The sequence below is a fragment of the Homo sapiens genome, chromosome 8 (assembly GCF_000001405.40).
Source record: "Homo sapiens chromosome 8, GRCh38.p14 Primary Assembly".
Classification (NCBI taxonomy): Eukaryota; Metazoa; Chordata; class Mammalia; order Primates; family Hominidae; genus Homo; species Homo sapiens.
Genome location: NC_000008.11, coordinates 76,403,482 through 76,419,482, shown reverse-complemented (window position 1 = coordinate 76,419,482; position 16,001 = coordinate 76,403,482). Strand labels below are relative to the sequence as shown.

General features: G+C 33.8%; 2 long non-coding RNA genes across 2 annotated transcripts in view; both read right to left on the bottom strand.

Annotated features, from left to right (window-relative positions):
- Positions 1-12,829, bottom strand: part of LINC01111 (long intergenic non-protein coding RNA 1111) — a 117,703-nt gene extending 104,874 nt beyond the window's left edge. Inside the window, exon 1 of the long non-coding RNA NR_105006.1 lies at positions 12,708-12,829. This is a non-coding gene — a long non-coding RNA (long intergenic non-protein coding RNA 1111). The remainder of the gene's footprint in view (positions 1-12,707) is intronic.
- A 1,563-nt stretch (positions 12,830-14,392) lies between these two features.
- Positions 14,393-15,364, bottom strand: LINC01109 (long intergenic non-protein coding RNA 1109). Its single transcript, NR_170172.1, has one exon. It is a non-coding gene; the product is annotated as a long intergenic non-protein coding RNA 1109 (long non-coding RNA).
- Between the last annotated feature and the right edge of the window lie 637 nt (positions 15,365-16,001).

The window sequence follows — 16,001 nt, the reverse complement described above, 5'->3', positions numbered from 1 at the left end:
TTATGATTCTTTTTATTGTGGATTCATTTTCTAGTAGAGTTGATTCATTCACCCTTCCCACCCTAAGTCCCTTGGAATAAGATGTGGATGGTTAACGTTGAAGTCCCGAATGAATAAAAGCTTTCATATTTTGATGGCAGTTTTATCTTAATTTCTCAGTCTCAGATAACCATATTTTGAGCAATAGAAATTCAAACTCCACATACTTGCATGGTATAGGCTTTGCATTTTAATTTATTTTCAACTGACTTTATCTTTTTCTTCCATACAGAGTCCCAGGCAGAGATAGGTCCCCATCTACTTCCCTGAGCTATTAGTTTTCTAGAGTGATAATGGATCTGGACTACAAGGGTTCCAGCTTTATGCTCCCTGCCTCACCTCAGACTCAAGATGTGTGTTTTCTCTTTTATCCCTACATGACCTTTAAAATAACAATCACTATGTGTTAGGGCCTAAATCTAATAGGATCCTCCTTGACCCCAAGGATAGGAGCTTGGTTACTTACTACTCTGGCTGTTTCTTATTTTTATTTCCTAGCACTGATTTTTTCTTTTTAGCTTGCTTAATTTTTTTTTCTTAATTATATCTTTATATTTTGTGCTTACATTGGGGGTGGAGTTGCTCAGTCATCTTTGATGTGGCACTAATGCTCCTATTTTAATTCATGACCTCTGCTAATGACATGGCAACCTTAAAAAATTGTTATTTTCAAAGCTTATGTGCTCTAAATTTTAGGGCCCTAGGATAAACTTCTGATTTTCCACAGACTAGTTGCAATTCTGTTTCTTGCACGTTGAGAGAACTCCCAAAGGAATTATCTTAAAAATCAACATGCCGTGCCAGAAGTGAGAGAATGCTACACGATGTGAGGGAAATGTGTTCATTAGGGACACTGGTTGAAATCTATTGTGACTTTAGATTCTATCCTACCTCAACGATTTCAAAATATGAAAAAAATGTAGGAAAACATTATCAAATGCCTATGTGGTAGAATTAAAGCAGTTTAGCAGCTCGATTTTAGTATCAGGGCATAAAAATGGCTTAATATCTAACATGAGTTGCCGGTTAGCACTGAAGTTAGGAGCATGAGCTCTGAAGGACCTTTCCTGTGTTAATTCCAGCTCCTTCATTTGGCAGCTGTGTGACTTTGGAAGTGTTTTTTAACTTCTCTATATTTCAGTTTTCTCATCATGAACATTTGAATAATAATGGTGTATTAGTCTGTTCTCACACTGCTATAAAGACATACCTGAGATTGGGTAATTTACAAAGAAAAGAGTTTTAATGGGCTCATCGTTCTGTGGGCTCTATAGGATTCTGCCTCCGGGGATAGCTCAGGAAACTTACAATCATGACAGAAGGTGGAGGGGAAGCAGGTGCATCTTCACATGGCTGGCTGGAGAAAGAGAGAGTGAAGGGGAAAAATGCTCCACCCTTTCAGACAACCAGATCTGGTGAGAACTGACTCATTATGATGAAAACAGCAAGGGGGGAAGTCCGCCCCCCAGGATGCAGTCACCTCCCACCGGGTCCCTCCCCTGAAACTGGGGATTACAATCAACATGAGACTTGGGTGGGGACACAGAGCTAAACCATATTAAATGGCAAGTTTCTCAGAGAGTTGTTACATTGAATTAATATAGCTAAAGTTCTTTGAGCAGTCCTTTGCACATAGTAATTAACTTTTGGGTGTTAGCCATTCTTATTACAACTTCTATGGATACTGTTAACTTAGTGGTTTCCCAAATTGGTATTCCATGGAAGAATATTTTTAAAAATCAAAGAAGGGTCTGGCATAAAGTGTCCAATGTTTTAGTGTTAGTTAAAAAATAATTACTACCATCTGTTACCCAGTATATGAGAGAAATACTTTAAGATATAAAAGTGAGAAAAAACTTTATCAAGCTTCATTTAAAAAACTAATTACAATGCATCTATTATTTACCTGTCTATGGAAGAGTGAAAACTTCATCATGAAGCAGCACCAGCCTAGGATTTGAGCATCGTTGTTTTAAACATAATTGACTGAAAGGTAGGACGAATTGCGGACCATGACTGTTTTACAATAGCTTCAATGTAATAGGGAAATAGCCCCTTGTAGTTAGAAATAGCAATCAAAATGTCCTTGCTAAAAGAAGGGACTAAATTAATTTGCAAGAATCACTTAATAAGGACTACTTAAAAGAGAAACAAGTTGTTCAAATATAGGAAATGACTATGTATAGGTCTAAAAGTTAATTAATATGCTATTTTGTAAAACATTATACTGGGAAGACTCAAAAGTCGTTGAACATGAAGAAGTAAATCATTCATCACTGACCTAATTCACTAGAATATAATGCCCCCTCTGCACTCCACAGCCTAAAGAACAATTGAATAACTTGGAGGCTGGTAAAAGCAGTGCAAGAATTATTAAGGAATTAGAAAATAAAATAGAAATATTAAGTAAAGCACATGGAATTTAACTTTTACTTTAGCCTGGAAAGAATATGGTTGAAGATCAATATAATGACTATTTTAAACTATAAATAGGTATTACTATATGTTGAGTTGAGGTAGCGATTTCTTTAAAGGTTCAAAGTTGACTGGAATTTAACCTTCAGAGGAACTAAACTATCCATTACCATTCACGTACACATCTATTGGACTCTGTTGGTTATAACCTCTGTGAAGATACTAGGCCAGGCTGCTGGAACACATGTAGCAATTAAAGATTTGGATGAAATGATTGCTTCCTACTTTCATGGTGCTTCTATTTATCCATGTGCACACATTGCAGTAATAGAATACATTGTAAAACAAGCACTCTGCAAATGAGATCACAGAAGGAAGAGAACCTTTCAACTGAAGCAGTTAGAGTAAAATGACTCTTGACATTTCAGATCCATGAGCCCCTTTAACATGGGTAGAAAGGTATAAAAGTCAGCGCTGAATGAGTATTCAGCAGGTAAGGCATGTTTGCTAAACCATAGGAAGAATTAATTTGTTGGTAACATAGTGGGATAATAAGAAAATATGGGAATATAAATTTGAAAAGATAGATTGTAGCCAGATTACATGTTGGATAAACTTTTAATGCCTTAAACCTGGGAGAACCTTTTATTATTATTTTTGTCTAACTTCAAAAACATCATTTCAAAACTCCAAATAAAATAGCATAGTGTATTTTATCTAAACAATAATAGAAAATGGACTACCTGAAAACATCTTAATGTTTGACATTGACTATATGTAGTCATTATAATGATATACAATGGCTATATAAATATTCAATGTATATGTTCAATGTATATTAAATATATACTGCCTTTATATATAAATATATATTCTATATCTGTATTCAATACATATTCAATTATATATTCAATGTATTCTATGTATGTTTGAAATTGAATATATATATTGCCATTTTATAGATTTATGTATAGCCATTTTATATAAAATGGCAAATAACGGTCAAATAAATGGCATATATATGTATAAAATGGCAAATAATGGCCAAATAAATGGCCAGTTTATATATATACATAATGGCAAATGACATATATATATGCCATTCATATATATATATAATGGCAAATATATATTACATTATATATAATTATGTAAATAATGGCTATATATATTCAATGCAAACATTAAGATTTATATATATAGTTTTATGTGTGTGTATATATATGTATGTATGTATAAAATGGCCTCTATAATCTTAAGAATTGAGAAGATTTTTCACCTTCCAGCAATTAGCACTGACCGAGTTAGAAAATAAAAATACTATATTTTATCTGGCAATCCTTTTAGCAATACACTTTGACTCTGTCTGTTCTGCATTTATAGCTCTGTTTTAAATTAATGCATTCATGGGTTGAAATTTTTAAAAATAGATTTTCTTTGGTTTTACAAGATATAAGCAATTCATGACAAATTGATCTTTTGTCAACTTTTGTTTTGTTTTTGGGTGGAGAGTATATCAAGGATTTGCCTTACAAATACATAAATCCTCTCTATTTTACATCAAAACATTTGCTCTTCTCTATCTTAAAATTAGTGTACTCATGTTTAAAAAGCAACAAACTATGCAAAAGCATATGTGGTGAAAATTAAACTCTTTCCCACAGAGACAACTGTTTTTATTAGTTTGTGATCCTTGCATCATTATTTGCATATTCCATTAAATGCATGTACAGTAATTCCCCTTTATTCATGGTTTTGCTTTCTGTGGTTTCAATTCAAGGTCCAAAAATATTACAACATTTTGAGAGAAACTGAGAAAGAACATATTCACATGACTATTTTTTACAGTATATTTTTATAATTTTTCTATTTTATGATTGTTTTTAATCTTTTACTGTACCTAATTTATAAATTAAACTTTATCATAGGTATGTAGGGATAGGAAAAAATACATAGGATATACAGGGGTCAGTGTTATCCAAGGTTTCAGGCATCCACTGGGGTATCTTGGAAAGTACCCCTGGAAGATAGGGATACTGCTGTATGTATATACATATATATAATACACACACACAGACACACACACACACATATATATATATACATATATGTACACATATATGTATTTTTTTTTTGAGATGGAGTCTCACTCAGTCCCCTAGGCTGGAGTACAGTGGCATGATCTCGGCTCACTGCAACCTCCGCCTCCCGGGTTCAAGTGATTCTCCTGCCTCAGCCTCCCAAAAAGCTGAGATTATAGGCATGAGCCACTGCACCTGGCTAATTTTTGTATTTTTAGTAGAGAAGTTTTGCCATGTTGACCAGGCTGGTCTTGAACTCCTGATCTGAGATGATTCGCACGCCTCAACCTCCCGAAGTGTTGGGATTACAGGCGTGAGCCACCGCACCCAGCCTTACTGTACATATCTTTACATACATTGGAGCACATTATATACATTCTTCTGCACCTTGCTTTTTTGTTTAACGTATCTTGGAAATTATTCCATATAAACGCATTAAAGCACTACATTATTATTTTAATTGCTACATCGTATTTTATTGTTTTGATGTACCTTAACTTATCTGAACAGTCACCTAATGAGAATCATACAATGGCCTCTCCCCAGTGTTTGTTTTGTGCGTACAATTGAAATAATGGCTATAAAACTTTTGTTTGCTATCTTCAGTTAATATTTTTATAACCATGTCCCCACATTACTCCACAAATCAAGATGCCATTTCCATTTTTACAAGTTCACAGTTTAGCTTCAGGGATAGCATGAAAGCACGGGGAAACCGCTGTGCATTGATTGCCTACGATGTGCCATCCCATCTTCTCACCATCCAGAGGTAGAGTAAGCTGTGTGGAAGGCACAGCAGTGACCTGACCGTGAAGATACTGCCTGCATGTCTCTCAGTAGCTTAGAGAGAACTGGTTTATTGTCTTCCATCAAGATTTAGAAAGGGCAAAACACCAGATCACACTCCTGTAGTTTGCAAGCATCAAAGCCCAGGTTTCAGAGCATAGTCTGATTTTTAAAACACTTTCTCATTGGTAATAGGATGCCTCTGATTCCAATATTAGATAGAAGGGGGAAATGTTGTAAATAACAAATACTATAGATATACAAAAGAAGATTCTCTGTAAAAAGGGCTCTCAATACCTATAATTTGCTGTCCTTTGGCTACATAAATAAAAACAATTCCTTTACAGGCCAGATAATTGTGATTATATTTCTGTCTCTGGAAGGATTCTACCTCTATAATTTCAATAATTGCAAACAAACAAAAAACTTGCTTATCTGCCCCTCCCCACCCTAACATTGTTCTGAAGGTTTCTTATTAATATTTCAGGATGGATTATACTTCATCTTTAAAAGAGGAAATCAATCTCCATTTATCAAATTTATAATGACATAAATATTATAAAACAATTATAAAAACAATTTCATTTTTATTTAGTGAAAGAAAGCAGTGTTTGAGTATATTTTGTTAAACATCATACTTTAAGGAGGTTTAAGAGGCCGATAAAGTGCTTCTATAAAACTTTCACTTGTAAATTTGGGTAATTAATTGGATTTTAAAGATTTCACTATAGAGTGTGAGGTCAGACTGGCATGAAAAGAATACTTACTTTAAATTAAGAAAATTATGAATGTGCAAGGGGAGGTGTACATTTTTTCTATGCACAATTGTACAATATTAAAATAGAAGAGAAACAAATCATGTAGTAATTCTCTCTCATCATATGGACAAGGAAACCAAGGCATAGTAATGGTAAATACTTTTTTTTTTTTTTTGAGACTACAGGCGCCCGCCACCATGCCCGGCTAATTTTTTTGTATTTTTGGTAGAGACGGGGTTTCACTGTGTTAGCTAGGATGGTCTCGATCTCCTGACCTCGTGATCTGCCCGCCTTGGCCTCCCAAGGTGCTGGGATTACAGGCATGAGCCACCGCGCCCGGGCCATGGTAAACACTTTTTTAACATAGCTAAATAGTTAGCATCAAGGCTAGTATTCAGGGCTTCTGTTGCCTTTACTTGAAAAGTTTTATGCAAAAGCACTTCATAAATTTCAGAAATTATTTTTAAACTTCTGTCCCTGTATTACTGTACCCCCTAAGATTTAGGTAAGTTTTTCTTAGTCAACACAGTTAAAGCTGACCTGTATGCAGTTGAATAGATCACAACACTGATTTGAAATGGTCGTTTTCAAGGTTGAAATAACTGGACCATGAACTGGTTGGTGATATTTTAGCCAATATAATGACCAAATCAGCTATCAATCATTATGGCAGTTAAGAAAACTAGTCATGATGAGGAATATCACATGATTATAGTGCAATTTTGAACAGTGATGAAATAATGTGGGACTTCCATGCCATAAAGGACTTGAAATAAGATTTATACATATACATATAATTTTCTCATAGTGCTTAAATAGAGACTTGCTAACAAGCTGATGGTACAGGACTTGTTCACTATTCCTTAAATTAGAGGAGGCTGTGAAAGAGTTATTTTAACAGCTATGGTAAAATGAGAACATTAAACTTCGGAAAATCCGGATATAAATCTGGATTCTGCCATTTATAGGTCTTGTGACCTTGAAAAAGTCATTAAATGCAGCTGTAATTTTCTCTTTTTAAAAAATGGTGATAGTGCATTGGGTTTTTGAAAGGATTAAACAAAATATATATGTATACATATAAACAAGTATGTACACTATGAGAACATCATATGTATATATATATAATTACATATGTAATGCATTGCAAAACAATTTAGAAATGACAGGTGTTGTTACAGGTGGTAGTGAGTTCTAGTTAATTTTATGTGATACTGAATATCAGATTATTAGTAAATGATTAGAAAATATTTATAGATGTTTTAGTTTTTTCTAGGCTAGTGATTCTCAAAGCATAGGCCCAGACCTCTGAGGAGCCCTGACATATTTTTAAGGAGTCCTTGAGGTCCAAAACCACTTTTATATCAATACTTTTGTTATTTACTTTTTTTCTTGGGTTGAAGTTTGCTGGCAATGCTGGAGCCTTAGTAGTCTTGGCTTCTTAGCATGAATCAACAGCACCAAACTTTGCTAGAAATCATTGTGTTCTTCATTTTGGGCAAAGATGATACATTTCCACTAACAAAAATAATGTTGTTGCTCTTTGAAGAAGCAATTACTTTAATTAAATGTTTTCTCTTAGTTATGTATATTTTTAATACTTTATATCACAAACTAGGAAATGCCCATAAAGAACTTGTGCTACATACCGAAGTACTAACTGTGATGGCTACTTTGCGGTAAAGGAGTTGTGTGATTCAGTTTGAGCTGAAATAGCCCCTTTTATACAAATATCTACTTGAATATCTACAACAAGTGAAACAACTCACAGTGTTTGTGGTCAATAATAACATTTTAATGTTCAAGGAGAATTAGAATTTTGGAGAATTTATATCTGCCACCATGAGCATGACAGATTGCCAATACTTAATGACATTTCTGATAAGATCATAGAAGTTATATTAATACATGTGATTATTTTTTGATACTAGATAATGAAATGTGTCAAAATTTGCATAACTCAGTGAACCAATATTTAATAAAAGACCAATTCATGGTGCTACAAAATTATACATGGGTCAAAGATCCATTAAAAATGCAAGATAGTTGATAGATTTTAACCTGAGTGAAATATTCATTGATATGGTTTCTCATTCCCTGTTGCAACTAACTTTAAAGAAATGACTACTTGTTGATGTTTGGTTTATCAAAGAAGAATATCTACAATTAACTGAAAAGTCTACTAAAATGTCCTTCATTTTTTTCAATTATATATTTTTGGAAACGTGGATTTTCCTCATAACCTCACCCAAATAAAATATTGCAAGACTAAATGTAACAACAGGTATTAAAATTCAGCATCTTGTGTTAAGCCATGTTAAAAACATTCGCTAAAGTGTAATACAATGACATTTTCCTTGCTTTTTCATTTTGAAAAATATAATTGTTTTAGTATAATATACTATTTATGTTAACATTTAATGTGTTTATAGTTATTTTAAATTAATTGAGGAATAATTTTAAAATATAATTTCTATTTTATTTTATAATATGGTAGATGTGATTAACTATAATCTGCATAAACAAAAGCTGTTATAATCTCAGTGATTTTTAATAGCGTAAAGTAGTCTGTTCTAAGCTGTCATTTGCTAAGGATAGTTGAACCACCACAGGGTTACCAAATGAAATTAGAATAGAAAGGTTATGATTTATTTAGGTAGCATTTTGAATTGTAATTTGAATTCCCAAAGACCTTCAATATGTGCATAAGAATGAACAAAATGTCTAGCTGTAAGATTGTGTATATCTTCCTGAGCAGATTTTCGTATTGTTTACTACTTTAAAAGTTTGCCTACCTTCTCTGTCTAGCTCACCTTTATAGTCATAAAGCTTCTATAAAAGTGCATAACACAAAACACAGGCTCCATGCATCTGTGTTGCATTGTTTTATATATATATATAGCTATAAAGTAAAACTATTTCTCTCATTTTCAAACAGCAAAATGTACAGCAATCATGAGTTACATGTACATGATACATTTCCTTTCATTGGCATCTTCCCATATCATCATACAGGCTATGAGATTTATATATTTATATAATTTATATATTTTATAGCTACTTGATCAGTATAGCTTCATGAAAGAGGTCGGATTTCTAAAGTAAAGGGTACTTTTCAGCATTAATAACAACGAAAAGAGCAGACTAGGGGACAGTATAAAATATTCAAAATGATAAATAGTTTAATGAAAGAGGAAGAAGGTAAATTCATTTAGAAAGAGGACTAAGGAATGAAGAACACGGCCGTTGACTGAAGATGTGAAACTGACTCAGCTGAGATGTGATTACCTACACGAACAAAGGAGGAGTGAGTAGCACCTTCAGAGGAAACTGTGAAGTTGTTTGGGTGGTATTTTAAAATTTAGGGCAGGAAGCCCTTCCCACACCTGAAATTATATCTGACCAACCTGGCGCAATATCTTGGAAGATTAATCAAAATAAGAAAATTAGAAAAAAAAATGTTTTTCTGAGAGGCTGTCCATTTCAAGTTAGGTCCTGAAATTGAGGCTTGCCTACTAATGTCAGAATGTCCAACAGGTGAGAGAGTAGTCAATCTGTGAATATTTTATTGAAAAAAAAGAATTGAACTGGTTGTAGGTGAGTCCTTGCAGAGAGAAAAGGGAGAGAGATGTTTGATTTATGCCTCAGGTGTCTGGGAAAGAATGTAGTCTAGTTTGATGAAGATAATAGTTGAAATAAAAATAAGAATTTTTATTGTTTTCTTACAGCTACCTAGATGAGTATCATTATACTTAACAATTTTCAGTATATTTAGAAATGAGAGTATTTAAAAAAGATTTTGAATGATTATTTAAAATTATTTACAGTAACAATGGGTAACACAAAGTATATATTACTTGTATAAAATCTTGCTCCAATTTACTTTTAAGTAACTAGTATTTAAAAGGAACTCTTAAGGCAGAGATTTAAATACACATTAATTTAATTCTCTTATGTCATTGTAATTGTCATAGAATATGTGTTTTTTTCATGATTAAAGTAAAATCTTCCAAGTGATCTCAAAATTACTGAAATATTAGTAAGTCTTTCTATTTATTCCTGGAATGGTCTCTTCTACAAACTATGAAAAGGATCAGACTAAGTATTTAAATATAAAAATTAAACCTATGTTTTTATTTAAGTATAGAGACTGTCAGGTGATACCAAAAGTAAGAATAATTTTTATTTGATCCTATGCTTTGGGGATGTTTTCTATCTTCTACTTTGATTTCGTCATTTCTTGATGTCTATATATGTCAATCATGCATTTTTACTATCAAACACTTTTGGTCATGCATATGTACGCAAATACATATACCATATAAGTACACACACATTTTCTATTCTTAATTGAAAGAATTTGTAGTTATGAACTGTTAATAGTTCTCTAAGTAGCAATGATGTATATACAATTTAAAATCTGAGAGGAAAGCAATTATACCTATATCTATCTATCCACCTATAGATGTAAATATCTATATATGTCCTCTAGAATTAATGCTTCAGTCACATGTCATTTTGTGTCTTCAACTAGAGCACCTACTACTGGCTTTCCTTTCTTCTGCTTGAGACTGACGTCATATAAATATCTATATGTATATAGATATATATCTATCTGTATCTATCTACATATCTTCCTATAGTTGAGAATAAATTATTATACTATTTTGTATATCTATACTGTTTATATATATTTATATAGTTTATATATAACTACTTAAATAAATATGTTTATATTTATAATTTTATCTATTCAAAGATATGTACATGTGTATTCTTATAGGTCTAGAAATTTCCCGTTCGTTATTTGGGTAGAAGAAAATGAAGAAAATGTAATCAAAACAGTGCTGTTGATGATTTCCTTCTTAATAAAAGTGAAAATATTAAACTGACTTTAAAAGTCAAGTCATGAATGTGTGTGTGTTCTAAATGTTGTGGCCTAAGTCTTACAATTCTGAGTGCTTTATAAACACAGCAAAGCCCTCAGCTACCCTACTAAAAAGACCAACAAAACATGTTAATGTTAAATTCAGCAAGGCTCAAGTTCTCAGTTTAACACACATGGGGCTCCACTGCTCTAATCTATACAGGACAAGGACTTACTGGCCCTGGAATGCTCGGCCCTGTTTTCTGGGCCTTGTTCCTCTGGCTAACAACCTTACTAGTTAGTATAACAGTGGCTACATAAGTTATGGTGGGAAAAATGTAACAATAATGTGCATTTTGACCAGTTAGTAAAAAATCCTCTAATATAAACAGAAAGATAACACAGAGAAATTGCCCTGAACTCATGTCATCTTACTATTTTCCTATGCAAGGGGCACAAATAGGCTTGCTCCCTTCTCAAACTTGGATGAGACACTTCAGTTTTAAGTTGGCATTTTAGTTTGTTTTTGGTTTTGGTTTTGATTTTCTGGTTTAAAATATGTACCCAGTTGTATTCCTACACAGAAGGAAGAGATAATAGCCAATAAATATGAACCATATCTACAAAACACTGATAAGAAATCGTACATGCTTTTCTGTGTGGATGTTAAAACAGTATCATTAATATTATTTTGGATAGAATTTTCACTCCTGCTGCTTAGAAAGCAAATGAGCTAATGATATAATTTCTCTTCTTGATAGAGATTCATCAGTGTGTTGATTCCCAAAACTGCATGGTAAGTACATGCACAAACGTAATCAACCAAATCATTAGCATTTATTAAAGAAGACAGTTTCAAATTGATGGGCAGTTCTGAAGAAACGTATAAATATAAATCTTTTCCTTTCTAAATCTTATTTGAATTACAACCAAAATATATTCTTTGAATATAACCAAATGTATTCTTACTTTTTTAAATAAAATGGTCAACACCATCTATTAGAAAAAATATCATTTTGAAGCCTAATAAATTGAATTTCAGACTCATGTGAAATAGCAAATATGTGTTAAAAATGATGCAGTCATGTCTTTGTTTAACATGGATAAATAACATTGTTTCAAACTAATATATCAGTCTCCAATCTTTGCTTGCATTGTGTTATGAAGTTGATGGTTATACTCTGTCATCAGATGTTATCATTAGGACCCCAGAAAAAGAGTTCCATTTAAATATTGTTTCTAACTCTGATAGTAATCAGATTACTGTTATTACTAGATCAAGGCAACTTTATGTTAGTTATCATTCTTCCATCTTTTCACATAAAAGAGTAAATATACAAGTACAGTATTGCCAGTTAGTGGTAATACTCTTGTTTTTCATTAGTAGAGATACTTAGCACCAAACTATCAAATAGTTTATTTTCCTTAAAAGTTAGATTGTGGAATACAAGCATATAGTTTCCCAAAAAGTTATAATTTACATTTTTCTTCTCAGATTTAAAACTCAGTTACTAAGAAAAATAGCTAAAACCCCACTTTAAAATGTGCTACATTGTGATTTGTTAATATCATACCAGTATACACTATGGAAAGATTATTATACATATTTTTACAAGTTTATGGAAACTTATAAAATATTTCTCCTTATTCTACATACTTGCTGGTATGCTTTTCAAAAAAAGGTATAGCATCTTTCATGAAACATTCTCCCATTTTTTCCATATGCAATTAAACTTTACCTCAATCTAGAGTAAGACTTACCTGTCAGTTGCTTATAGTAGTTACTAAAAGTTCATAGTTCCTTGCAGTATACCAAAAGAAAATGTCTTTATGATAAATTCAGTCTACATTTTATCATTTACTCCATTTACATTTTAAAAAATAGAATAGAAAGGAAAACCACTATTAAATGTCCATTGTAAGTTTGTTAGTTCTAATATGTTTTGTTGCTCCCCACTAGTGAAAAGTTCTAGAGAGAAAAAGGGATGGCAAGAAGTGAGAGTTTGTTAATAGGTCATAGATTTAGGCTCTGTTTACAGAAATCTGAAACACTGGGGTAATGCATGAAAAATTAAGTTATGCACAAATGTTTCCAATTACTCACTTGTTTGGCATCACATAGGGTGGACCAAGCATGGAAATTAAAGTCTACATTTTTCACCCCATTGTTGGCTGTGTTGTAGAAATGACCTTATAGGTCATACTGCTGAATTTATAAGTTTGCTAGCAGTAAGTATAACTGTTCCTATTTTACCATTTCAGAATCAAGCAAAACTAAGGATTAAGTCAGTCAATCCATGGAGGCTTAATAGAATGAGGCATTTAAAATATTTCAAGAATGGGCATGAGTAGATCAGTGACGATGACTCAGAATGGTGTAACTGAATTATTTTGTGAGTAAAGAGCTACCTTGGTCCTCCTCCAACCTTTAGAAGCTTTAAAAAATGAGTGTGAACTTTCATGAGGTTAATGCGTTTTGAACATACCAGAAAGATCAAACCTTAGCCCACACATGAGAATTAATTTTCTTACAGCTTCAACTACTTAAAGACACCTCTTGTGATATATGGACTCTAGAATTAATGCTACAGTCACATGTCATTTTGTACCTTCAACTAGCACACCTACTACCGGCTTTGCCCCTCTTCTGCTTGAAACTGGCATCATATAATGAAAGATGAAGGAGCCAATACGCTTCTTAAGAAGCAAGTAGTCATGAGACTTCACCTGCCACCACAGATAGAGAGAAAAAAAAGGGGAGGGGGTAGTTAGCAATTTCAAGAGCCACAATTTACCATGGAAGCCTCTACTTAATATTCCGCTTGATCTGCCAAGTTTATAGCCTGGCAAATCTGAATACAAATGTCGATGCAAATGAGGATTCATTATTCTTACAAGGTCTTTGTGTTGAAGCTTAATGTAACTTGGTTCCTATGGTTGCTCAGGGAACGTAGATTGCAAGACAGAAAAAAATGATGAAAAGAACAAAAATAGAAAGGAAAATAATAGAAATAGAAGGAAATGCTTAAAATGCACTTTAGCTTGAAATAGGAGGATGCATAGGAACAAAGCATTGTCCTTACAATCTCTGCTTATTGCCAGTCCTGGTATTTACTTCTCATCAGCAACAGAGGAGTTAACCACTCAAGAACATTCTACACAGAGAGAAAACATAACAAGTCTCCTTTTGCTGATTATAACACATTGTTCCCATTATAAAACCAGTACTTCAAATTGTCAAATTTTTTACCATTCTTTTATAATTATAGAGCTCATGGGCTGGTGGGACCTACACATTCCGATCTCTAAGAAGACTGAAAATGCATTAAAAAAAAAACCCCACCCAACAATTCCCTTTCTTTCATATGGATTTATTGCAAATACTTCAGAATCAATATGTTAAGAAAGCTAAAATTAACAAACTACACATTGAAAAATCACAACACTTTAGCATCATTCATTTATTGTTTACCATAACCCATTGCACACAAAGGTTGCAAAACCTCCAAGTTAGAGGAAATCCTGAGAGGCTGCAAAATTATGATTATATCTCATATACCACAGTATATTGTTCCGATGAATCTTTTGCATGGTTAGTTGTTGTTTACATACAAATACCTTCTCCGGAAATAAAAAATGTACTGAAGGTAACAGGAGCTGCAAAGCTTAGCAGATCCGATGATCCCAAGATCATGCAGTAAGGCTTGCTTCTTCATCCATAAATAAAGCACATTTGCATCCATTCAGTCAAATTAGCTCCATTAAAAAGGTGGTTATAATTAGCTCCTTTTTCTGGTTCACGGGTAAAATTCTTGCATGCCTGCTGTTTTGATTAAATCCACCATTGTCTTCCAATAGCTAGTGCTAATTCTTCCAAGGAAATCTTCAGTTGAGGTGTTATTTTATTCTGCGCTTCCGTTAGTTGTCTAATTTACGCCAAGTCCCTGCAGTGTTTCCTTAAGCCATCCTCTTTGTCTTGCCTTTGAAATTTACCAAATCTTACAAGAAATCAATACTTAATTGATTATTCACTTTTCTGCAGCTTCAAACAGCAAGCACGCATAAGATCCTGGAGTAGTCCCCCGATTTCCAATGCAGGAGGTTGCTTGGTGGCAGAGCTCTGCAAGTGTCCAACAGCAGGCATTCCATGGAGCCGTGCACTGGCGTGGAGTGCCAGCCAGCGTCTGATAAAGAAAACGAAGATACTCTAACGAAGCAGGAAAACTTCCTGGATGAGGCAGATCCATCTCAAGGCTTTGGATAAAAGGCTGAAGCAGGAGCAATTGGATACCACAACATTATAATTTTTTTTTTTTTTTTGCATTATTCCTTTTGCTTTTTGCTTACCATTTTCTTCCCATGGCACTGAAGTGGAATATCCCAAGTGCCACCGAACTCAGAGAACTCCACGCCGGAATGGGGGTGAGACTGGTGTTGTACCTCTGGCATAGGATAAGGATGGCAGGCACGTAACATTACGAAATGTAGGACAAATTCAAGCGAAAGAGAGGGAGAGGGAGAGAGAGGGGGAGAGGGAGAGCTAGAGACAGATGGCGGATCTGGCTAGGAGCCAAAGCCAGTGAAATGAATTACATTGCTGAATAACTGTACACCATTGATTCTGCCACTTGTTGCTGCATGGTTAAAAAAATGAATTTTTAAAAAGCCCCAGTGTATGCTGGAATCCCCTTATTTGTCATGTGTGCAGCAGACAACTTTCACACGTAACTCCATCCTGACAATGATATGCTGTGGGTGTCTTGCATAGGTGTGTAGATGCGCGTGAATGTGGTTGCGTGCATGTAGGTGTGCCCAAGAAAGCAAATGTGAGTGTGTGTGCATATGTATGTGGGAGGAAGGAAAAACAATCCCTGCAATCTAGCCATTTTTGTTTAATGAAGAATGGAGGACTGGCATTCAGAGATGTGGTTATGTGCTGCATATTAATGTGTGCTTACCAGACATTCTCCCCCACTTTAAAAATGAGTGGCACAGGAGTGAAGCCCTCTATAGATCAACCACGTGGGAGAAGCAACTCATGAGGTAGCATGTCAT